General features: G+C 31.9%; 1 protein-coding gene across 22 annotated transcripts in view; it reads right to left on the bottom strand.

The window, feature by feature from the left end:
• LRRIQ1 (leucine rich repeats and IQ motif containing 1) overlaps nt 1-27,047 on the bottom strand; it is a 236,455-nt gene extending 209,408 nt beyond the window's left edge. For 17 of the 22 annotated variants that reach the window (XR_944764.3, XR_944765.3, XR_944766.3 and 14 more), the window contains exons 1-8: nt 26,991-27,047; nt 25,090-25,248; nt 22,797-22,908; nt 18,589-18,680; nt 17,261-17,378; nt 15,928-16,151; nt 11,147-11,221; nt 6,214-7,851 (exon numbers count right to left, since the gene is read on the bottom strand). Coding sequence is in view for 18 of the 22 variants with exons in the window: in XM_011538819.4 (XP_011537121.1) it covers nt 6,214-7,851; nt 11,147-11,221; nt 15,928-16,151; nt 17,261-17,378; nt 18,589-18,680; nt 22,797-22,908; nt 25,090-25,221 (2,391 nt within the window). In the remaining 4 variants the exon portion in view is untranslated. The remainder of the gene's footprint in view (nt 1-6,213; nt 7,852-11,146; nt 11,222-15,927; nt 16,152-17,260; nt 17,379-18,588; nt 18,681-22,796; nt 22,909-25,089; nt 25,249-26,990) is intronic. The other 5 variants (NM_001079910.2, XM_047429652.1, XM_047429656.1 and 2 more) reach the window with 4 other exon arrangements.
• Nucleotides 27,048-27,108: the final 61 nt, after the last annotated feature.

The raw sequence follows: 27,108 nt of genomic DNA, 5'->3' as shown, positions 1-27,108 counted from the left end.
AAAAATTAGATTAAATAAAATCATTAGCTTTTGTAGGATTTTCATAGTTTGAGGTCTTCTATTTAAGTCTTTCATCTATCTTAAATTAATTTTTATGGGAAATACCCTTCTTTATGTCACCTTTGGCAAATAATGTATGGCTAAGTCCTCAAAAGCAATTGCAACAAAAAAAAAAAATTGACAAGTGGGGCCTAATTAAACTAGAGAGCTTCTGCACGGCTAGAGAAACTATTAAAAGAGTAAACAGACAACCTACAGAATGGGAAAAAAAATCTGTAGACTATGCACCGGACAAACATATAATATGCAGCATCTACAAGGAACTTAAATCAGCAAGTAAAAAGCAAATAACCCCATGAAGAAGTGGGCAAAGAACATGAACAGAGATGTTTTGAAAGAAGACATACACGTGGCCAACAAACATAAGAAAAAATGCTCAACACCACTACTCATCAGAGAAATGCAAATAAAAACCACAATGAGATACCATCTCACACCAATTAGAATGGCTTTTGCTAAAAAGTCAAAAAATAATAGATGTTGGTGAGGTTACAGAGAAAAGGGAACACCTGTTCATTGTTGGTAGAGATATAAATTAGTTAAGCCACTGTGGAAAGCGGTTTGGAGATTTTTCAAAGAACTAAGAGTTGAACCACCATTCAACCCACCTATCCCATTACTGGATATATATCAAAAGAAAAATAAACCATTCTACCAAAAAGACACATATATCGGTATGTTCATCGCAGCACCATTCACAATACCAAAGACATGGAATCAACCCAGATGCTCATCAACAGTGGATTAGATTAAAAAAAAAAAAGTAGTACATATATAGCCTGGAATAACATATAGCCATAAAAAATGAAATCATGCCTTTCGCAGCAACATGGTTGCAAGTGGAAACCACTATCCCAAGCCAACTAACACAGAAACAGAAAACCAAATACCACATATTCTCATTTATAAGTGGGAACTAAAAATTGGGTAAACAAGGACATAAAAATAGGAACAACAGACACTGGGGAAAACACGAAGTGGTGAAAGGAAGGGGACAAGAGTCGAAAAACTACCTACTGGGTACTATGCTCACTACCTGGGTGACAGGTTCAATCATGCTCCAAACTTCAGCATCATGCAATATACCTTTATAACAAAGCTGCATTTGTACCCTTGAACTTAAAGTAAAAGTTAAAAATCATTAGCTTGATAGGAATATTCTTGTGTATACCATACTTAAAATTATAAAAACATTATATTAAAATTGGAAGCACTATTATTTCAAAAAACACTGAAAAAGTACAAAATTTTAGAATGCAGTAACTCCTCTTTGTACGGAACATTTCCTGTGCATTAAATTGAACTAAAAGTTTTAAATTTACATATTTATGTAAGTAAATTGAAGGACCATGTGTTCATGGTGATATAAAGAAAGGAATTAGACCACTCCATTTTAAGTACCAAAAGCAATAATTAAAACTTCAGATAAATAAGACTTCTAGTTTCAAAATCATTTTAAGAATGTCTCAACTATTCATAATCTAAAGCAATTTTGAAACAAATTTATTTTTAATAATTTTTTCAGAAAGAAAATATACTCATCAATTTGTAGGGAGATAACTTCTATATACTGCCTAGTTAATCTGTAACAAACAGATATACATTCTGTAATTGGAAAACTGGCTCTACACTAAAAATGAAAACATTATTTAGAATTGAGCACTCAAGAATTGAAAATTCAACAATTACAGCTGTATAGTAACAAATGCTACTCAACATTATAATTTATATTATTCAGTGTGATTTAGTAACATGTTGCTTTCAATCAACTATACAAGCACAATTAAGTTCTAGTTATTTATGATGTGGCAATTTCTGTCCTTTAATCTTATTATAGTACAGAAGTAACTGCTACAGTATCCTTGTTAGTGGTATTTACTTTTGAATATGAGGAGCTTCCTATTTCCTCCTTTAATTGAAGCTCTTTTCATTGAACATTTAAAAAAAATCTTTATAGTATAGCAATATAGTCCCCTACTCGACCACAGATTTTTCCAAATACATGAGATCAAAATAAATTTTTGTATTAATTATGGATACATGTATGACAGGAGCCACATACATAAAACCACTTTATGCTTCGAAATTAAGGTCAATATAGAATTAGTAATCGTATGTGTTCATTACTGTATGGTCAACTAGAAAAACAGCAATTGGAGCATAATGGGTGTTGGGTAAATGTTTCTTAAAATAAATAAATGAATGAACTTCCCTAGCCTGTGGCAAAACTCAACTATATTTATAGCTCTCATACTTTACTTCCTTTTTCTTATAAAGAATTATGTAAAAACATTTGAAAAAGTTATACTTTCAGACTCTCATGACTTGAGAATGAACTATTCCACCTATAGAAGCTATGAAACTCTCATTATATTTTAATAACAGATTCCAAATCAATTTTCTACTTAATCATCTGTATTTTCCCAAATCCTTTACAGCCCATTGTAGATAAAATTCCCTAACTCAGCAACATACATTTAGAGATTTTATTCTCAATTATTCTTGAGTTCAACCTAAGAAGTGTCAGTCATCTATGGTAAACGTAATTACAAAAGTAATGCAAGCAACAAGTCTATTTTATTTTTTTTTTACTTTTTCAGAACATTTATTCAGTGGTCCAATCTCAAATCTATTTGGCAGGGAAAAATAATATTGTTTTAAAAATCAGCTGCAAAGGGACTGAGTCCAAGGTTTGATTAGTGGTTTGAATAAAACAGCTACAAAACAATTTCAGGTATGTCACCTATTATTCCAATAGCAGTTCATTACAATTTACTTTGTATAAGAGAAGTGAGACTTCTTGATCTAAAAGTTAATAAGCAGCTAAAATATTATTATTCACGTTATGGTATAAAGAAATATTTAAAAATCCTTAAGCTCAGTGCCCTTTTTTGTGGTGGTTATTACTTAATACAAGTTACCATTAGTAGCAAAATGCCAAAAATAAAAAATAGTTAAAACATTTAAAAATAAAAAATAAAAATATATTCATTACCCATAATTATTGCTCTTTAGTCTTCTCTTTTGAGATATTACTGCATATAACCCAATGGTCTAGTATTTTCAACTTTATAACTTTTTTGATGAAACGGGCTATTAAGCAGCCCTCGAAAACAATCCATTTGCCTTCTCTTTGCTTGCTTGAGACCCACATTTGACAAGTGGTATTAGAAGCCCTGGGCCATGTTCTTTACATACAGCATTTTAAAACTCAGTGATCCTATATAATAGATATTGCTGTTCCAGTTTGTGAAAGACAAAACTGAGGCTCATACAGGTCAAGCATTTGCATAAGGTGTCACAGCCATAAGTGGCAGAAATAAAATTAGAAACAGTCTTAACATAGAACTTAGTAGTCTAATAAGCTACACTTCAGTAATTTTACATTCATTTCCTCTTCAGTCAATATACTTTATCTAAACTGTGAAACTGGTAGTAATGAGGAGATAAGATTAACATTCAATTGCAGTTCTTTTTTTTAATTATACTTTAGGTTACATGTATACATGGGATACATGTGCAGAACATGCGGTTTTGTTATATAGGTATACACGTGCCACGTGCCATGGTGGTTTGCTGCACCCATCAACCCGTCCTCTACATTAAATATTTCGACTGGAATTCTTTATTCATCAATTGATTCATCCCCCCACTCATCCATCCTATAATCAGGTAATGAAAGTCATTACAGATAGTTCCTGACAAGAGATAGTTTAGCGTAGAATTTTTTTTAAATTTTATGATGGTGTGAGATCAATAGACATTTAGTTGAAACCATACTTCAAATTTTGAATTTTGATCTTTTCCCAAGCTAGCAATATAAAGTATGATCATTTCTCACAATGTCAGGCAACGGCAGGGAGCTGCATCTCCCAGTCAGTCACATGATCATGAGGGTAAACAACAAATACTCTACAGTGTACCACGTTGCCAGATGATTTTGCCCAGTTGTAAGCTATGTAGGTTTATCTGGATGTAACTTCATTGTAACTTGAGGAGTATCTTTATTTGCCTGGCAATGTGTAAAGAAGTATGAACAACACGAAGATCCGATTTATGTCTTGAAGTCTCAAAGTAAGAGATTAATGTAAGCAAAATGAATGCATTACTGGGAGACAATAAACTTTTCTAAGTTGATCTCCAGAAGGACATCCCAAGGATGGCAGTGAGTGATCAGGATAAGGATAAAGATCTGAAGCTAAAAGATCAGAAAGTCAAAAAGAAACTGAGCCATGGATCAGTAGTAACAGTGGTGAATAAAGACACCATGGTAAGCCATCTACCAAACAGAATCTTTACAGGAGTTGTCTGGTAACAAAAGATGATATTTTCTTAACATTTTAGCATCTATATGGCACATTCACATGTATTTTTCATCTTTATACTGCCTATTTGATGCTTCAAAGCTAAATTAAAAGCTTGAGATAGTTGCTTTAAGAAGGGATGAGAGGATTATGGTGCCCTTTAGAACACTGCTACTCAGATTAGTCCACTCACCAGCACCAACATCATCATTTAGAATCATTGCAAGAATGGAGAATGGGTGGATCACCAGACCTATTGAATCAGAATCCACATTTCTACAAAGCTTCAGGTATTCTATAGATTTTAATAGTTTGCCAGGCCTTGCTCTAAGAAGTAAAAGAAAGAGTTAATTATCATTTTATGTAAATTGACAAACGTTCGAAAGAAGGAACAGAGAGTCAGCTGGAGAAGAAATGCCAAGGAGAAAGAGGCTCACACATCTTAACTTCCTTCTCATTGGACAGAACAGAGACCTACAAAGCAAGGGAGGAACACTACTGTTTCTGTAACTTCATTTTCACTTTTGAAGCAAGTACACTGTAGGCATGAAGCCATCACTCTTGCCTAGCTTTAACAGATACTCATGAGGAAAACTAAATAATTGCTAATGTTATCATATTGGAAGGCCTGCAGCAATATGTTAGAGAAAGAAAAGTGCTAAAACATGATTCCAGAGATAACATGCGCAAGGAAAAAATTGGAGAAGAGCAGATGAGAGATTCTATATGTAGCTCTGCAGACCTGACAGATGTGGCAAATACATTACCCAGGAAATAAAAGACACTTAAAAGTGTATGTCCCAGTTCTCATCTCTTATATTGCTATTTCATATACCAGAAATATCTTCAAAATCCCACTATTTTATTATTCTCTCACAGGATACTCTGAAGCCTTATTTACAGCAATTCTCAAGATCCATAATAACGTATTTATGTGTGTTTAAGCTCCGTAAAAGACTGGGTTTTCTTTGTTTATTAGTCAACCAATAAATATTGATCATCTTATTGGATAGATGAATATTTGCTGAGTGAATAAACAAAATAATGTTTATCTATTAATATGATTGTTCTTTCTCCTAGGCATCTGTCTAGCAAGAAAGTCTATCAAGAAACTAAATAAACTTTATTGAATACTTTTGACTTTCAGGCCTTAGCTAAATATATGTATTTTAATCATAAGTGCTTTCTAGTGTTACACTGTTTAAAATATTATTTTCTCTTTTTCTATACGTTTATTAGTTTCTGTGTCTTAATTTTGGTTGAAACTATGTTCTCCATAACCATATAAAATTAGTAACATTTGATGACAACTATTTTACATTTCAGACATATATGCACCACCTTTAAATAGCACACGCTAAATAATTGTTGCTAGATGGGAATTCTAGGGTCTTCAGGGTCTTCTATCATGCAAGCCCTTCTTTCACAACAGTGGTCATGGACATAAAATCCACTTTATTCCAAAAGCAGCCACTAGGTGGTGTGGTGGCTCAAGTCTAAAGCAAACTTCTGTTTACTTAGGAGTTTCCTACTATAATTCTAACCCTAACTTTCTATATGCTTCCATTCTTAGAGGTTTAAATAATGACTGGAGGGCCCTTGAACACAGGCTTCAAGATATTAAAAAATATAAATCAAAGCTTTTTATAGAGTGTCACTTAGGGAAGATGCCTCGAACAATTTGTTGAGATATATCCCCTCCCAAATGGGGTAATATTTCATTCATAACTTTATTAAACAAGAGACAATTCTTGTATACAAAATATTTCTTTTTCTAAGATCTGAAAAGTTATACTTTAAAGAGCTAATTGTAATTAAATGTGAAAAATTATTATAAAATTAGAAATACCTGCTGTAAAGTATCCCAAGGGCCACATCGAAGAATTTCCAGTTTATCCAAAGCGGGTGTCATGTTGGCTGGGCATTTCACAGGTCTCTTTCTTCTAACAATTTTCTTTTGTTGATTTTGCTTGAAAATTTCAAGCCAAGGTTTAAATGATTTTATCCAGGCTAGTCTCCTTTCTTCAATAGAATATAGAAGGGTTGACTCTGATACACAGCAGGTCATGCTATCAGGTTCAGGTGCATTTTCATGGCATTTTTCTGAAATATTTCTAATCTCAGATTTAAGAGAGTTGACTTCTTTAGATACCATGGAGCTTTCTGCATTATAGTTACTCAAGCCCTCACAAGGAGCATGTCTACCTAACACATAATCTTGGTCATTTCTTTTGCCTTCTATATTTATCATGGTATCAGTTGTGTTAAAAATCACAATGCCACTATTCCAAGCATTGTCTTTTGGGTTCTCCTCAATTTCTTTGGATTTTGAATAAATTTCTTTTTCTTGTAATATTACGTTTTCTCTTACATCTTTGGAATTTTCTGATGTTAGTGAGAGTGATCTTTGTTTCACTGAAATAACTAAAGTATCCTTATCTTTATATAATAATCCATTCTGTTCTTGTATCTCTTCTTTTTCTACTTTTTGTATCTTTTTCTGCTGATTATCTTTGATTATTTTCTGCTCTTCATTGGTTTTCACCTCACTGATTTCTTGGTTATGTCCTAATATTATCTGGGTTTTTTGTCCTGTATTCTCATTTATGACATGTTTCATGATTTTTTCTTCTTTTTGTGCATCAGACTTTAATTCTTGCAATGGAAACTGTTCTTTCAGATTTCCTTTTAGATCAGAGTTTCCCAATTCAGTTTTGTTATCTGTATTTTCATATTTTCTTTCTTGCTTGACCAATTCTTCTGAACATCGTTTTTTTGCTAGGTTTTCATTTTTTTCTTCCATTTTAAAATCTGCCAGAATTGTTTGGCTTGATATAGATTCTTTTAACTTTACTTGTATTGATTCTTTTAATATAGTCTGTCTATCTACATTTTCTTTCATATTTGATTCCTCAACTAGCCAAAGGAGAACATCTTCCTGCTTCTTTGAATTTTCATCCACTAGATTTTTGGCTATATCACCCTTATCATTTGAAATATCTTCAAGACTTAAATGTTTGTTATTATATCCGCTCTTCTTTAATGCACTACTTATTATTAGCTGTTGGCTTGCATCTTCTCTTAATATTATTTTTTCCTTGCTTATTAGTTGCTCTCTTTCCTGTTTCACAATATTCTTTTTTTCTTCATATTCTTTTTCTCTCCTTTTCCTTTCCTCTTCCTTTTGCTTTTTTCTCTCTTCTTTTATCCTTTGTTCCTCCTCTAATCTTTTTCGATTTTCTTCCTCCTTTTGTCGTATTTTTGCTTCCTTTTCCTTCCACTCTTGTGCTTTCCTTTTCTTACTTTCAATTTGCTCTTTAATAATTGGGCCATATTTTTGATAGGCAACAAATGCTTTATATTTAGCTTGAATTTTAACAGCTGCATTATTCTGCTGTTTTAACAAAGAATTTTTTTCTTTTTCTTGTTGGTCTTTAAATCTTGTTCTTTCTTCTTCCATTTGTAAATGCAAGTTTCTAATATACTCCTAAAACAAAGTAAGATACATGGTAGTCAGCATAAACTAAACATGAGATGTTACTAAAATGTCATCTGAAATGTAGATTGAAAACAAATACTAAAACTGAAGTCTTAATAAAGTTTCTATAAAATTTATTTAGAGAAACTAAAGTCATTTATCTTAAAGGGTATTACTTTTTTAATATTTAGGAGATTGAATCATGTTAAGTTGATACTCTAATGTTACATGTATTCTAAGCCACCCAGATATGAATTGAAGATTTCCTTGAAGATAGAAAGCATATAAAATCAGAAAGACACAGAATAAGCAAGCAAACAACAACAACAACAAAAGGGAAACCACAGGCTAAAAACCACGTAAAAGAAAAGGACTTCAAACTTTCTGGAATGAGAGTTCTGATAAAGAAGACTCAGAGCTAGTATTGAGACTGCAAAAACAGGAATTATTTTGTGAAACTTATGGTACCAAGAAAGCCAGATAGTCCCTACATACAAACAATATACAGAACCAGCCTACTCACATATCTTATCCCTTCTCAATGATCAAAATAGTTGATAACCACATACTACTGCATTTAATGAAATATTTAGAGTTAGGTGAGAAAATATTATTTTTACTAGAGTCCTAAACCAAAAGTAAGAAGATCAACAAAATTGAGCAAATATCTAACGGAAACTAACAAAAAGGATATGAGACTATATTTTAATCAGCAGAAGGAAGAACCAATTTCTGAGAAAATCAAACTATTAAATAAACTAGATAAAAATTTAAATAAAGATATTTTAGAAAAAATATTTAAACAGGAATAACCTCATATTTCAAGTGTTCAAATAAAAACGACTCACTTAAACCAATAATCAAAATAGAATGGCTGGATAGCTGATTACTTAAAAAAAAACTTCAAAATGAGATGTTTTCCCCAAACAACAAATAATAACAAAGATAAAAATTATATGTCGGAGGTAAAGAAGATTAACACAGAAACTCCAACATATGACTAGTAGGAGTTCCTGAATAAAGAACTGAGAAAAACTGAAGGGAAGAAAATAATAGAAAAATACGTTTTCTTAAAAACAACAACAAAAAGCCATGGGAGAAAGACCGAACATTGCATGCACACATACACAACACACTTAGACAGATGCTAGCAATATTTCAGACCTCTGGGGAATGTAAGCTGTTAGTTTTACTGTGCTCCTTTTTAGGTGGTGTGTCTTTTTGCCTCTGGATGCTTCCAACACTATTTTTCCTTTGTCTTGAATTTGAATAGTACTATTTAATTCCAAGGTGTGATTTTCTTTGTATCTCTCCTCCTTGGAAATTGTGTATCGCATTTGAAAGTAGGGATTATTTTCAATTTTATGTACTGTCATATCTTAAACACTCAGAGAAGTGCCTGACCTAGTAGAAAACCAGTAAATATGTGTGGATGAATGTATAAAATGAAAAATCCTAAAGCTTCAAAAGAATGTAAGGAAAAGGCATCAAATTTGCAATCATAGATAGCACAGGCAAAAATAAATATGCAACAAAGTCATATCTTTACATTGTTAAGGGTGGTAATAAATCTGTATTCCACACCCGAAGAAACTGACCATTCATTTTTAAAAGCAAACTAAAAATATTTTCAATCCTGGGTAACACGGTGAAACCTTGTGTCTACTAACAATACAAAAAATTAGCTGGGCGCAGTGGCGGGCGCCTGTAGTCCCAGCTACTCGGGAGGCTGAGGCAGGAGAATGGCGTGAACCCAGGAGGCGGAGCTTGAAGTGAGCCGAGATGGCGCCACTGCACTCCAGCCTGGGCGACGGAGCGAGACTCCATCTTAAAAAACAAAAAACAAAACAAAATATTTTCAAATATGCAAACAAAGATTGAGAAAATCTAGCATCCAAAAATGTTTTTTGACAACTATTTAAGTGTATACTACAGGAAATTAAAAATTGAGTCCAGAAAATGGAGGAAGAGTCAGGATTCAAAGAACACTAATAAACAAAGAAACCATTATCATTGAATACTTACGTTTTTTGAATCGTCTTCTTTCTTCCATCATTTTACTTAAAGATGGCTATTTGTTTTACTGTTACTCCTTTTTAGGTAATGCGTCTTTTATCCTCCAGATGCTTCTAAGACTTTATTTTTCCTTTGTTTTGAATTTCAATAATTGTATTATTTATTCCAAGGTAGCATTTTCTTTGTATTTATCCTACTTGGAAATTATTTTTCATCTTTGAATATGCTGGTTGATTTTTTAAAAACAATTTGAAATCTTTTTAACCATTATCTCTTTACCTCTTTGCTTCTGCCCCATTCTCTGTCTCCTCTCAAGATATGATACAAATTTTATATCTTTTCACCATGTGTCACATATTTCTTGTGCTGTTTTCCTCTTCTTGCAATTTTTTTTCTTCTCTGTGCTTTAATTTGGATATTTTCTATTGAACTGTCTCATTTCACTAATGGTGTCATCTGCTATGTCCAATCAAATTCACCCACTAAATTTTAATTTTATATACTGAATTTTTTAAACTCTAGAATGTAGAGTTGGTACTTCATTATAGATGCTATTTTTCTTTTCACATCACCTGTTTAAGTATTTTGCTACTGGATGATAATTATAGGTATTTTAACAGCTCTACTATACTTACCATTTGGATTATCTATAGGTGAGCTATTATTGTCTTTTTTTGTCACTTGTCATTCATATGACTCTGTCTCTTTACATGCTTAACCAGCTTTTTAATTTGACAATGTGTAGTAGACACCTACTTTTGCAGGAGCGGGTTTATATAAATTTTAAAAAGATTTGAAAGGAATACAAAAAAGGATAATGTTTAGCTAAATAACAGGATTATGGAGATATCTACTTTAAATTTGTAATTACTTAAAATAATTGTATATGAAAACTCTAGAGTAAATAAAAACTAAAACATCAGTATATGTATCATCAGAATAATCTTATATTCAAAACAAATTTAATTGTGTTTAGGAAAAAGAGTAAGCTTTCATAACAATCTTTGAACATAAAGAAATATTCAAAATGGTACATTTCATCAAACCTTAAAAGAAATGTTAGAATTACAATTTTATACGGACAACACTCACCAAACCAGCTAACTCTCATTTTTAAGACATTCTATTTCAAGGAGTGTTTCTGAGGATTAATAAATTTTTAATGCTGTAATAAACTAAAATCTTATACTACTTAGGCAGCATTATCTAAAAATAACCATTTCAAGCATAGTAATGTATTTCAAATAAAGAAAGCTTAATGTGCTAAATAAAAACAACAAATAGATACCTCATGCTGTTTAAATTTCTCTTTCCAAATTTTCTCTTCTTTATAGAGTTCATCATTCATCTTGTCCTGTTCTTGCTGAACATATGATAATAATAAATATGACTATACTCAAATATCAAAAATATTATGTTAATTATATATGATTCTCATAACATATATTTGTAAACAATAGTTAAAGCTGACAACCCAACCAATGGCTTTCAATTTTTAGTACTGGGATAACAACTTTAATCTCAAACTGAAGTGTCACATAATACCTAGGGTTTCCATTCTGAGAACATAAAGAAGTTTGCAACCTAGGAAAGTTGTATTTATTTGAGTATGTTTATTCACAGAATATAATGTATTGGCTCGAAACACTGTTAGGCATTGTAAAAATTACAATAATGTTTGTAAAATGGGTTTTGTGTTACAATTGTTTTCTCACCATGTCATACCATTTAATTCACATAAATCAGTTCAGTAAGTGATGGTTTTCTTTCAATAAGTTTTTATCAACACATTCGATAAGACTCCTCAGAATAAACAGATCAGTAAAATACAACCCCCTTCTTCAAAAACTCTTCTGATAATGTGAAGACACTATCATAAATTTACACATTACCCAAAATCTAGCAGAATAAGTTTATTGCAAGAGAAAAATATAAAAAATAATAATGGGCATGATAATTAGATCATGAAAGGTTTTATGCAAAAGACTGTATTTGAAATCACTAGGTTTTCAAGAAGAGAAACATTTTTGGCACTTATTAAGCATTTTGAGCTAGGAAAATAATTACATCACTGTTTTTATGAAAATCATCAGTTTACATTAGATAAAATTAAAAGAGAACCAAGGAGACAATGAGATCAGTGAGCAAATTATATTAGTGTGTTGCTGTAAAGGAACACCTGAGGCTAGATAATTCATAAAGAAAAGAGGTTTATTTAATTCACGATTTTGCTGGCTGTACAGGAAGAACGGTGCCAGCATCTGGTTCTGGTGAGGCCTGAGGATGCTTTTACTCACGGTGGAAGAGAAATGAAGCCAGTGAGTCACATGGCAAGAGAGGGAGCGAGAGAGAGAGAGAGAGAGAGAGGAGAAAGTGCTAGGCTCCTTTTAACAGTCAGATCTTGTGGCAACTAACGGAGCAAATACTCAGTCATTACTATGGGGAGAGCACCAAGCTATTCATGAGGGATCCACCTCCATGACACAAATACTTCCCACTAGGCCCCACCTCCAACACTGGTGATTCCATGAGATTTCAAGGGGATAAACATCCAAACTGTATCAGAAAGCATCGGAAATGACCATGTGAGAATGAGTAGGACCTTCTGTAGATAGGTAGCAAGAGTGAGAACAAATGCAAAGACAACGTAAACATGAAATTGCCACAAATTACCAATTCATTAGATATTTTAAAAAGTGGGAAAAGTTCTTTGATCATTATCTCATATGAGCTATGGGAATTTTTGATGAGGTTTAAGCATGGAAGTAACGTATTTTTAAATAAATAGTTGTCTGACAGTGCTATGGATAAGTGTGAGAAATGTAAGACCAAAGGTAGGGAGACCAATTAGAGAATATAGTAAATATCCCAAGTTAGACCCTCAGGCAGCTTGAACTACAAAGGAGCTGTAAAGTACATGGATGCGAAGATGGATAATACAATAATTGGATCAAAGATAGTAATAAAAAAGAAGGAAGAATAAAACATTACCTTCATTTTTCTATCTTGGACTAATGATAATAGTGTGGCTTATCAAAATTAAGAATTCCAGGGAAGAACAACTCAGAAAGAAAGACAATGCATTCAGTTTTAGATACATAAAGTTCTCTGAGTATGCAGTTTTTGTAGGAGAGTTATGTAGTCTACCTTGTTTTGATACAATTGTAGATTTGGTTATCAACGGTCATTTGTTTTAAGCACCAAGTCATAATAAAGGACACATTAGGGAATTCATTAAGATGAAATTATCAAGGTGGAGGTATATGGAGTAAGAAAAGAAAGGGACAAAAATAGAATCCATGATGTTAGTTCCTACCCAAATCTCAGGTTGAACTCTACTCCCCAGTGTTGGAGGTGGGGCCTGGTGGGAGGTGTTTGGATCATGGGAGCAGGTCCCTTATGAAGGTCTTTGACCATCCCCTTGGTGATAAGTGAGATTTTGCTCTGAGTCCACATTAGATCTGGTCATTTAAAAGTGTGTGCCACTTTTAAAAATTACCCAGTGTCAGGCATTTTCTTTATAGCAATGCAGGAACAGCCTAATGGAAAACACAAGGACAGAGAGAGAAAATGAAGTCTAAAATGGATATCAATGAGTAATTGCCAAAGATGTGACAGAATCAAGACAATGTGATCTCACAGAAGTCAAGGGAAAGTAAAATGGTCAACCATCAAATTTTTGCTGGCATAAAATGCTACAGAGTCCAAAATAGCTGAAAGAAACCTGTGAGTATAATATATAGAAGTCATTGGTTATCTTCCTCAAGAACAGTTTCATTCAGTGTGGTAATGCTGCAAAAAACCTAGCAGGATTAGAATTGGATGAGAAATGAAAAAATTGATACAGTATAAATAACCACTCTTTAAGAAGCCTATCATACACAGCCTTTAAAAAGCCAATCAAAGAACAGCTAAAGAAAAACATAAGAATGATCTCACGATTTTTCTTTTGTTTTATTTTTAGGATGGGAGGAAATTGAACATGCTTATAAACAATAAAAAAGGAGGAAGATGATAGGAGTGTTTCAGCATATAGAAAAAGCAGGTGTAGGTTGAAAACTGATAAAATATAAAGTAGAGGAGGAAAAGCTAACCTTTGGCAGAAGAAAGAAGCATTTCTTACTGGGATAGGAGGGAAGGCCAATAATAATTTTAAAAAGGATGAGTACAGATGTTGATACTAAATAGCTGTGTAATTCAAAGAGGAAGTTTGTATTTGATGCAAAAAAATGTTATGTGGTTATTTGCTAATAATGAGGGGGGAGGAATTGGGTGTAATTCTTAAGAGATTTATGATTGCTATTTTGGGGAATGGAGAGGCAGCTAACAAACAACCCAGGAAAGAACTACTGACAGAAAGTAAATTATATATTTAGAGTCAATCATACAAAATATGGGCTAGAACCATTGGAAACTTTTAAGCTCCAAGGCATAATGAAGGACATATTTAGGAATTCATTACACCTAATATTATTGCATTTCCTTAAATCATAATTATATGATAAATTGCAAATTAGTTTCAAAAAAATAAGTTATAATTCTTTGAGGGTGGGATTTGCTGTTAGATCTCTTTTGCATCATCTAAGCACACAGCTGAATGCTTTGCCCTTAAGGTAGTCAGCAAATTTTGGTTATAAAACAAATAAAAATGACAACTTTGCTGAATAGGATTGAAATCAGATGTTTCTTAAATCTGAAAATACTACTAACACTTAATAGCAATTATGTATTTTAGTACAAACCAACAAATACTACTCCAATAATCTACATTATACTCAATCCTATTTTGGATTTCTTTTTTTTAAAGCTTTTGATCTCAGAAATGACTATGTCATTCTGGTCTATGGGAAAGAAAACATAACTAAAGGAAAATTAAAGATTCATATCTTACTATTAGAAAAAGTCATGGCATAACTGGTTCTACAATATTACAATTTAATGTGTTTATTTTCTTTTTTCTTCTTTCTTTTTTTTTTTTTTTGAGACGGAGTCTTGCTCTGTCGCCCAGGCTGGAGTGCAGTGGCACGATCTTGGCTCACTGCAAGGTCTGCCTCCCGGGTTCACGCCATTCTCCTGCCTCAGCCTCCCGGGTAGCTGGGACTAGAGGCGCCCGCCACTATGCCTGGCTAATTTTCTCTATTTTTAGTAGAGACGGGGTTTCACCGTGTTAGCCAGGATGATCTCGATCTCCTGACCTCGTTATACACCCGTCTCGGCCTCCCAAGGTGCTGGGATTACAGGCGTGAGCCACCGCGCCCAGCCTTTAATGTGTTTATTTTCTACACAGTCAAGAAATGAAATGTCCTCAACATGGAGGATTAAAAAATGTTGAACAAGCTAATGTTCTTTATATGCAACACTCAAACCCAGCAAGTTCTGGATAATGTATAAATCAACTTTAATCATGAAAGATAGAGAAGTCAGTCATGCCTGTTATCCAAATATTCTAAGGTTCTCATGACCTGCAAGTGGTGTCCTAAAATCCACCAGTTTCTCAATACCGATATACCACCACTATGATCTGATTGTGTGGATCTCCTAGGGGGAAAACAACACCAACAACACATACGACAGAAATGAAAACAGTACAAAACTTCACACCAAAAAGTTGCCAGTTCAAGGAAGTAGCTTAATTATGAAGGTGGGGCGCAGACTGACTCTAAATGGTTGAACTACTTTTAAATATGTTTTACATGTCATATGCCAGACCACAGAGCAAGGTTAATGCATACTCAAGAATTTTTCATTGCTTTTTCCAATGTTTAGAAGCATATAAAGAAAAACAACAATTTATATTGTAAATTTCAGGCTATCCATGATGACCCTTGAAATTCATAGACTCCATTGGCCCCCAAGATCAGAAGTGTGTCTGACCTTCCAATGAATTTCAATAAAAACTAATCAAGGACCTCATATTAAATACTGTTAATTCACAGTCAATTTCTTCCTCTATCAGAGAGTAATTAAAAGTCATACTATTAAGCTCAATCTGCAACACAATCCAAATATCAATATTCTTCAGAGGTAGCTACTGATTTTAAAAATACATGAAAAACAAAAGCAAAATACCTTCTGAATGTTCTCTAATTTCTTCTTTTCAACTTTAAATTGTTTCATCCAGCAATGTCGCTTTTCTTCTTCTTCTTGAAATTGTTTTTCTTCTCTATCCCTCTGAGCTTTGAGAGTTTGTTTCTCTTTATCTTCTAATTCCTTCTGTTTCTCTTGCCAAGCCTCAAAAGACTGTCTACATTTTTCTTCCACTTCACAGTATCCAAAATTTATATCAGCATCATCTGCACTCATGAAGAAAAATAACATCATCATTTGTAAGATCAAAACTGTCAAAACTAATTCAAAGTATAAAAGTAATTTTTTTAATTTTTTTTTAATTTTACTTTAAGTTCTAGGGTACATGTGCACAACGTGCAGGTTTGTTACATATGTATACATGTGCCATGTTGGTGTGCTGCACCCATTAACTCATCATTTACATTAGGTATATCTCCTAATGCTGTCCCTCCCCCCTCCCCCAACCCCATGAGAGGCCCTGGTGTGTGATGTTCCCCTTCCTGTGTCCAAGTGTTCTCATTGTTTAATTCCCACCGATGAGTGAGAACATGCGGTTTTTGGTTTTTTGTCCTTGCAATAGTTTGCTCAGAATGATGGTTTCCAGCTTCATCCATGTCCCTACAAAGGACATGAACTCATCCTTTTTTATGGCTGCGTAATATTCCATGGTGTATATGTGCCACATTTTCTTAATCCAGTCTATCATTGATGGACATTTGGGTTGGTTCCAAGTCGTTGCTATTGTGAATAGTGCCGCAATAAACATATGTGTGGATGTGTCTTTATAGCAGCATGATGTATAATCCTTTGGGTATATACCCAGTAATGGGATGGCTGGATCAAATGGTATTTCTAATTCTAGATCCTTGAGGAATCTTAAAGTAAAAAAATAATGTTAACATATTCCCAAAGCGAGAATATGCAACAATAAAATACATTGTTGAATAGACGTAGAAATTTCACCAAAGTGAATAAAGTTACATAAGTTGACTTAAAATATTCCACAAAACTTAATATAAAAATAAACCCACAAGTGTGTGTGTGTATGTGTGTCATTAAGAGATAGTTAAGAGATACTAAATAAAGTCAGGGATAGTCAAGTCTATTGCAATCAGCTGAACATGTGGAAAAAATATTTAAATCAAGTAAATTTAGAAGGCATAAAAGTATGATGATATGTAATTTAATAAGTATAGCAAAGGCACAATAATCTTCAAACATTGTAATTGCTTTTCTAAATATCAGAACAAACATCAACTGTCCAATTTTTTTTAAATAACTATGATCAATCATATAAAAATCAACAAACATATCATTGAGCAATTTAGTCCACCTGGTAAAACATGTTCATCCATAGGCAAGTCATGAGGACTAGGCTCAGGAACAAAATCAGGAGTGGCACAATCGGTTTTACTTCTCATAAATTCTTCTTTTTCTATTTCAGATAATATCTAAGAGGTTAAATGAGTACCAATGATTAAAGAAAATCAAAATAGAGAGTAAAGCTGTCGTTTTAATAATACATTAAATATTTATATGTATATACCAAGAATTTTAATGTACTCCAGATATCTCTCAAATACAAATCTGCAGCACATTGATAATTATTCTCTTTACAATGAATAAAAAATTTTCCCATGCAAGCATTAGTAACCCTCCTTATGTTTTTCGGAACTCTAATAAGTCTTTAATATTATTTAGTATTATTCCACAATATTCAATTAAACCATCTGACAATCACTTCAAAATGTTTCTACTAATGTTTTCCTTTTAATATATTCTATTTTTCTGACTGTAGTGACTGTTCACATACACAAACTTTTTATATATTCTATATGATACGAAAGAGAACTATTCTGTAACCTAAATTATATATACATCATTTATATCAATTATTTTCCATAATTATATTTTCACCATACTTTAGTTGGAAAGATACAGGCTATTTATTCCAAGGAAGTAACAGTATAATAATTGAAAATTAATATTTCAAATTTGAGTATTACAAAAAATTCAATAGAGTAAAACATTAAAAAAGAATGAGATATATAAGAAATTTTCAAATTATGTTAAACACATTAGGGAGGAGAAATAGGTAAAAGGAGAGAAAGCTGGATAAAATGAGAGGTAAAAGTCAATCTAAGAAGTGAATCTTTAGGAGAGACTTTCTCTTAAATCCATTTGTGGGATTTTTAACTTAAACTGCTAAGGCTCTTCTTATTTTTTAAGTAAGTTTTTCTTTTATTTGTTTCTAAAAACTACTATAAAGTATTGTAAATTTAAATTTTCTATAACGTCTCTGCAGGAACATAGTACAATCCTAAGAAAGAGTAAATAAGAGTATATTCATTATTTTCCTCAGAATTTTTAGACAACAAAATTTGTGTAATATAGTTCTCCTATTTTATCTACATGCACATTAAATTGCCAGGTATAAATGGCTCAACCCACCACTTTTAATATTCTTAAAGACTGAAAATTGAGTGTTTTTATATCATATGCCAGAAGAAACCATAAAACCACAGATGATTTGCTTAAGAATAATTAAATTTTTAATATTTAAATCAGTGAACTTAAAATCAGTGAAGTATCAATCTTGTGTAAGAGAGAAAATTTCTAATTGTAATAGTGAATATTTTAAGTCAAATATTGAATATATACCTTAATTAATTGCTCTGAACTTTCTTCATATTCAGTTGATAGTCCTGTTCTTAAATGCATATGATTATTAGAAACTGCTCCATAACTACAGCCTAGAGAAAGAAAAAATGTATATAACTTCCAATATTAGAGTACAATACAACATCTCAAAATTTCAAACCCTTTCTTAATTTTTAACCTCAAATTCTATCAGGGTATATTGTTGATCAGTAAGAGTAACTCAGAATAACAGAAAAATTATTAAGAATAAACAATAGAGGAAATCTGATATATTTATTCTAAAAATAAAAGTAATAAATTTCTAAAGTGCTTTGACTCTATCATTTTCCATATTCTAGTGCCTGAAGTTTATTTCCCAGGCAAAAAGGATCATGCCTGGCTTGATATTGCAACGGCATCTTGATTAGAAATCAACAAAAATTCAACTCTATCTGCCACAAACCAGACATGACCTTGCACAAGATATTGAAAACATTTTAATAAAAATATTAATTTAAAAATTATAATTATTACCATGTAAATGAAGAGGAATTATATTTCTTATTTTATGAGTTGTTGAATTTTATAATTTTTAATTATGTGTGCAGATGTAGTTATGTTTATTTTCTTTCATTCAATTAATATGTTATAACATGGTAATGTTTCCTAATAGCAAACTAACTTTACAGAGGACCATTCTGCTGGCTAACTGATTATTCACACCTATTTTGTCAGATATTATAGATTTTCTTTTAACACCTATTCACTACCTTTCTGGCATGCTTTCCTGTGTGAGAGGTCAAAAAGAAAAAAATGACATCATCCAGATACCTTTGCAGCTAGATTTCTGAGAGTGATTTAGTTTATGTCCATAAATATATTTACATAACTCTTTTTTTCATAAATTATTATGTATAAAGGGAGGCAGGTGATGATGTTTTAATTTCTATGAGCCAGAATGTGGTAGAAGGAGCTTGGAGTTGGGAGACAGGAGTGTATAGTAGAGGATTAATGTCTCTGAACTTCTTAAGTATAGCAGACAGCAGCTTCTGATGCAGCCCAGTTTTATGATATATGTGTGGGGTTTGTTCTACACCTTGGATGTTTAGACTAGAGACTGCTTCTTCAGTCTTATTAATAACTCGGTTACTTATTCTAGTAGATAGTCTCTATCTACTATAGAAACAAAGATGTTTCTCCCAAAGAATCACACCTACTGGTATACATATCCCGTGTAGTTCCCTCTCACATAGGACATAAGCTGACCCTGCGTGACCATCAGGATGTGGCAGAAATGACGCATGATGTCTGAGAAAAGATCATGAGAAGCCCTACAAGGTTCCACCTTGGTCTCTTGGTATTTTGCTGTAGAACACTTCTCAGAATCTACATGATCTGAGGAGCGAAAGCCACAGAGAGAGGCTACATGTAGGTGCCTCCAGTTGAAAGCCACATCTGAACTCTCCAGCCAACAGGTTGCATCAATAGCCAGACATTTTAATGAGCTATTTTTTTTGTAATCCAGTCAAGCCTTCAGATGACTACAGACTTAATCAACATCTGACTATAAATGCATGAAAAACCCAAGCAAGAACTGTCCAGGTGAGCCCAGTCAACCAACAGAACCAAAAGATATAGTAATAAATTATTTTAACTTTCTAACTTTGTTTCACAGCAATAAATATTCAGAACATCTCTCCTTATAAAAATAAACAAAAAACCTTACTGCCCATAAAGCAGCTAGTGCCCGTTCTCTACAACTGAGAACCCCGATCAATACATCTATATTCATAACACAGCAATAAATATTTAGAACATCTCTCCTTATAAAAATAAACAAAAAAACTTACTGCCTAAAGTAGCTAGAGTGTCTGTTTTCTACAACTGAGAACCCCAATCATCTATATTCATAAGTGCAACTAGCTTCTAGTTTCTTTTATCTGTGCTATGCTTGTACAATTTTGATCTGAAATATATAGCTTTTAGAAATAAAGTATTTTTGCTCCTTAATAGGTTGTAAGAATTTAGTTATAACATCTTTCCTAGTTTAGCAACATTTGAAAAATCTCTTTCCACCTCTTTGCCATATTATTGATTTGTTTTTCACTTTTTCAAATAATTTTGATAATTTGTTTTCTTGAAAAATCATTAATTTAATTTTAAACTATCATCCCGTGTAACAAATAATGTAATAAATAATTTAAATTAAATAATTCATATAAGAATGAATACATAATGTAAATTATTAAATTATTACACAGGATAATTTAAATTAAATTTCAATAAATTCAAATTTAATAAATAATACATATTAGTATAATTTAATGAATAATAAACTTATGATGATAATAAATTTAATAATTTTAACAATTATTTTAATTTAATAAATTAAAATAATTTTAATAATTTATACTTAATTTTACTAAGATAAATTTAATAATTTTAAATAATTTAAATAATTAACGATTTTAAATAATTAAATTAATTTAAATTTTCTGGGAAAATTACTTTATTCATTACGATTGTCAAATATCTTTTATAAGGCTCTGATTTATTTGATCTTATTAGAAATCAGATTAGATTAGATTAGGTTAGAGTTATATACAAGATCTCATAATTTTCTAAACCACTGCTGTAACTGTAGTTGTATCTCAGTTCATGTAACTAATTTCTACAATTGTGTTTTCCTTGATTTTTTTTATAATTAGGCTATAAATAGGCTGTATACCTGTCAATGTATTTATATTTTCAGTGTTTAAACCTGAGTAAAAATAAACAAAACATGTCAACATTCTTCATAATTCAACCATAGATAATCATTGTCAAAATATACAGTAAATCTTTACATAGCAATTCATGCTGGTGTTCGGGACAAAATTCTTGGAGCCACCTTCCTTTCTTCATTTTGTACCAGTCCACCAATATATGCTTCTCTTTCTACCTTAAAATAATGTCCAGAATATGACCATATTTCTTCATGTCTACTCAAACCACTCTCATCTCTTGTCATATTATTGCAATAGTCTTGTAGTAGCTTGACTACCTCAAGGCATATTCTCTACACAGTCAACAGAATGATTGTTTCCAAATAAAATTCAGATACTGTCATTGCTTACTCAAAATTTTTTATATGTTGAGAATAGAATCCAAAGTCCACAAAATAGTTTGGAAGAGTCCTATATCATCTAATCCTTTGTTTTCTCACATACAACCAGAAACGTTTACTTGCTGTTATTCAAACATATTAAATCCACTCAGTGGGCCTTTATACTTCCCTCTTTCCAGAATACAGGCTTCCTAGATAACCATGTGGCTCAGCTTTACATTCATTAAGTCATTGCTCAAATATCACCTTGTCACAGAGACCTTCCCTGACTATTTAAAATAGCAAACTCCAGTCTCTATCTCCTTACATTTTTTTCCTTCATAGCAGTTATCACTATTGAAATATTGCATATTTGTTTATTATCTGTCTCCCTACACTGGAACATTAAAACAGAGAAACAGAATCTTTGCCTGTTTTGTTCACTGCTGTATTCTTAGTGACTAGAACACATTCTATCACAAAGCAATATTTATTGAATGAATATGAATATCTACATTGTAATTTATACTAATACATAAATGCCATTTAATTTTAAAATAGCTTTTAACATATCATGAATATTTTTTACATTAAATATTTGTCTGTCATTTTTAAAAATAGGTTTATTAGTCAACAAAAAAGGTCTTGTTGAACATTTAGAATGCTGCCATTTCTCATTATAAACCAAGCCAAGGTTAATTCTAATTAAATCTTCGATCTTTCCATTAGTCTTAGAACAATTCCAAGAAGTAAATTTGCACAATTCAAGCAAAATACTGTTGGGCTTTTCAAATAAGTGATTATATTTTTCCCAAAAAAAGATGTATATACTGATACTGCCAAAAAAATTCTCTTGATTAGTTTTATTTTCTTTAATATAAAATAATAGGATGTCTGGTATTAATTAGGACTGCGGAAACAAAATGCTGATGGTATTTACTGAAGACCTAAGAAAGATAGTAAAAAAAAAATGAATGAACTAAACCCAACAGTCCAATATACTGTAGATATATTAGAAATACACTAAATGTATACACATGTGCACAGTAAGAGATAAGAACTTTAAGCACTTTAGTTTACTAAATTATAATTTGTTCATACTTACAGAAAGCTTATCTGCCAGACAGATGAAAATAGTACTTACTTAAAATATCAGTATCTTCCAGGTCCTGAAGAATGAGCTCTTCAACAGCTTTACTCCTGTTCTTTATGATGTTAATACAGTGAAGAACTGATTCTGGTAATTCAACTGAATCCTAAAAATTTGAATAATACAAGAAACTGTGAAAGTGTTTATTATCAAAATTATGTGTCAAATTTTGGACCCTTCATTCCACAGCAAAAATGTGACCAAAACATGTAAATGAAGTAAAAAGATTCCATATAAACAGCACAGTTCAGACAAATATATTTGGCTAGAGTTTACTTTTAATTTTCAGGTGGTTGTGCATTTCTAGAAAACTCTAAGAAAACAAATGAAAAGAGTTACCTACACATCACTTTCGTTAACTTTATTACAGGCTGTTTATTTTTGAATGCCCTCAATAGTTGTATATATTTTTAGATTAATTCCAACTTCAAATAAATATTATCAAATATTAATCAAAACTGCAAGATTATTTTTTCAAAATATTTAATATCAAACTAATACCTGATATAATTATTTATTACATTCAAAACTGGCTTTGTGATTATCATACACAAATTTAGTCACATTTGTAAGCTATTATAAAATATCTACCAATATAGCCTATGTAACTCGATTTGTAAATTTTCTAAATAGCTAAATATATTGATATGCAAAATGCAAAAATAAAATTCCTTCCTCCATAAACACCGTAACTAGTTAGAAAATATAATGCAAATAAATAATATTCATAACAACAAAATACTTGAAGCATCTAGGAACAACTTTAATAATAATCTTGAAGTTACATATATCTACATGATGACAACACTTCACTGAGGGACCTCAAGCATGGCATCAATGAAACGATATAAATGCTTCTATATAGAAGAACATGATATGCACCTGCTTTTATTTAACTAAAAACAAATATTGTCTGCCATACTGGGTTTTCATGTGTTGAATTTAGGATTTACAGCCAGCTTTATTTTCTCTATCCTAACTAATGGAATTCAGTGTTTAGTTTTGAGAATGAACATTAGAAGATAATGAGAAAATATTACCTTTCTTTTAGTACTACAGAAAAGCATGTAAAATTATATGTCATAAAATGAGTCCTGATAAAGTAGTGTATTAAAAATAGTGACAAAAATATCAATTCTACTTTTCTGACATCTGTCCTGCATTGAGATTTCTATTTCTTGTTTAACTAAGAAATAGAATTCTAAGCTACCTGGATTGTAGAGATTGTTGTTATGTCTTGGGAAATATAGTTCATAATCTGTAAATCCTTAGTTAATAATTTTTTCCCCTGGTAATAATACTTACACTGATTCTAAGTGATATAAATAATAGTGAGGTATCTTAATTGAAACAGAAGGGCTTTAAAATTTTCTTCTTCCTTTATATAAAAAGGTATAATAAAATATAAAACAATCCATTATTCTGTTGGATTTCATACTCAAATAAAGAATTTCAGATTTTTTTGCCTCATTTAAATGAGCTCTGGATAAAAGACATAATAATGTAACAATGTTAATTTTTCTAAATGTAATAGGTAGGTTTAGTGCAATCCTAATAAAATAACAAAGTTCTCAAATCTTTAAAAAATTTTCTTTTTCAAAAAAAGCTTAGTTAAGATTTTCAAATGATAAAAAGATGTGAAGAATTTGGTCCACTCAATATTTACAAATATACAACAGTAGGAAAATAATGAATAAAGTAATGGAAAAGAACAGACAGCCTTGGATAGATCATATGTACAATAACTATCAGTAAGACATATGATAAATCAATTGAGAAAAATTAGATTATTAAACAAGAGACACTGGAAATATTAGCTCAATATGTGCAGGAGATTTTCAAATTAGTTCTACATTTCATAACATTCCTGAAAATAAATTCCAGTTGGATTAAGGATATTGGTATAAATGAATAAATCTATGAATAAACTCTGAAGCATATAAACATTGGTAAATATACACAAATAAAAGGATAATTTGTTTTATTTCCAAAAGTAACCATTTTGATATGTCAAAAGATTTCATATACATTTTTCTTCCCATGTAATTTAATCATGCTAAAATGTTCACAAGTAAAAACAAAAATCAGGATATAAATATATATAATGATAATCCCAATTTTACGAAGATGTATAGGTGACTATATATATTCAATATAATTTATATTTATATAAATTGTTTATAACAATGCTGCTAAAAATGAGAAGTACATAAAAACATCCTGAGAAAAGTAATATTTCTCCTGAAAAGCCTACTCCTGTTAAAAGGCTCAAAAGTGCAATACTCACTGTATCACTATCATCACTCTGGGTTTCTGATTTTGCATCACTCTCAATGTCTTCTTTTTCCAAGGAGGAAATGCTGAGTTTATCCAATTCAGCTTCTATTTCTGCTTTGAGCTTTGCATCATCATCGTCCATTATTCTTCATAATAAAGCACAGAACTGCTTTAAAAAATGAAGAGGCTAATATGTCACTAAAAATTATGTGTTCTCTAATTTGTCATACCAATCCAACATATTTATTTAAATATGTTTTAATTTAACAAACTTTTATCACACCTTATTATGGTTACACCAAACATTGTTTTATCTCTTCAATCATTCTTTTTAAACTTTGACTACAAAATGATCAACTGTAATTGTACGCTAATACTCTTATTGATTTATATGTTTATATAATTTTACTATATATAATAAAGATCAGAATTGTTTATAAAATTTTTGTTTCAGTTATTAATACATATAAATGTAGGTATGTATGCATGAGTTGCAATGTAATATGTGTTGTTGTTAATGTTCTGTTTTTTATTTTTCACTGTTGGTCTTAGTCCCAAAAAAGGTTTGAAAACGTACTAGTCAGCTATCATTTTATTTTTCATGACACTAGTTTAAACCTTTCTTTCTTTACTCAAGGGCCTGACCTTTCCACCTGTCTTCTTGTTCTTTTCTTCATTCCTTCTTTCCATCCTCTTTCCCTTTCGTTAATTCCTCCTTTCACTCTACTCAATCATCTCAAAATCAGTTCTACCCATAACTTCCACCCTCACTCACTCACTCAAAAATAAAAAATAAAATAAAAAAAGGAAAAGAAAGAAAAGAAAAGAAAAACAAAGTGAAATGGAACTCCAGACAGAACCAGGGCAAAATATTATCCTGCAATGGAACTCAAAGTGCATTTAAAAAGCTTTATTAGAAGGAAAGCTAGATTTTTTTTTTATGCCTACAAAGCAAAATGCACGGGTATACTAAACTTTATATAGAAAGAGAGGCAGGAGAGTATGGTGGAGGTAAGAGTCATTTCCTTTACATGACTTTCTCTGTTCATCTACTGGCTCATTAGATCACCCCTGTCCAATTACATATTTGAGCACTTACGCAAGTTTAAATTTTCTATTAGCAACTTTTTAAAAACAAAAGAGAAGTGCAATTAATTTTTATAATATATTTTATTTAACCCAATATATCCAAAATATTTCAACGTGTAATAACAAAATTAATTATTAATATCATTGCAAAGAGTTTATATTCTTTCTTTGGACAGTAATTCTTAGAAATCTGTTGTGTGTTTTACACCTGCAGCACATCTCAGTTAGGATTAGCTGCATTTCAAGTCCTCAGTAGCCACCTGCAGTTAGTGGTTACTGTATATGACGTGCAGTCATGGATGGGTCTCACTGTAAATGGGCTACATTAAAGTGCTCTAAGTTGATAACGAATCACTTGGAGTTCACTAAAGCTGTCAAAAGTAGAAAAGCTTAAGGAACTCCCCCTTCAACCCCTGTAAAGAAAGGGGAGAGAAATCTACTTTATAAGGTTCATATAAATTATATATTACCAAAAAAAAAAGAAAGAAAGAGAGACAGAAAAAGAAAGGGTGGAAAGGAGGGCGACAAGAAGGGAAGGAAGGAAGGAAAATAACGTCAATTGGTTTGTGGGGAGCGGTGAGTGAGTAACCATCGAATGATCCCTACATAGCCAAGACATCTCTTTAAGTTTTGAATGAGTTCTCGAAATCTCCAGGGTGGAAGGGAGCCTCGAGCTTCGCAGAGTCGCACAGCCATCCCCTGACCCGCGGTCTCTCCCTTTGCTGGAAGTCTGGCCAGGCAGAGAGAGTCCCGGCTCGGCCTGAGCTCCCACAGCTGTTCACCTCCCTCAACGGGAATCCCAGTCTTAAGACCCCGGCTCACCCCTCAGCAGCGAGATTCCTTGGCTTTGTTGTAAGACAGCGCCCATAGCCGCTACACAAAGCGTATCCATGGCAACAGCCAATCACAAGGAAGAGACACCGGTTTTTCCCTACAGGTG

The sequence above is a fragment of the Homo sapiens genome, chromosome 12, assembly GCF_000001405.40.
Source record: "Homo sapiens chromosome 12, GRCh38.p14 Primary Assembly".
Classification (NCBI taxonomy): domain Eukaryota; kingdom Metazoa; phylum Chordata; class Mammalia; order Primates; family Hominidae; genus Homo; species Homo sapiens.
The sequence above is the reverse complement of the archived record's forward strand: the minus strand, read 5'-3'. Positions and strand labels throughout refer to the sequence as shown.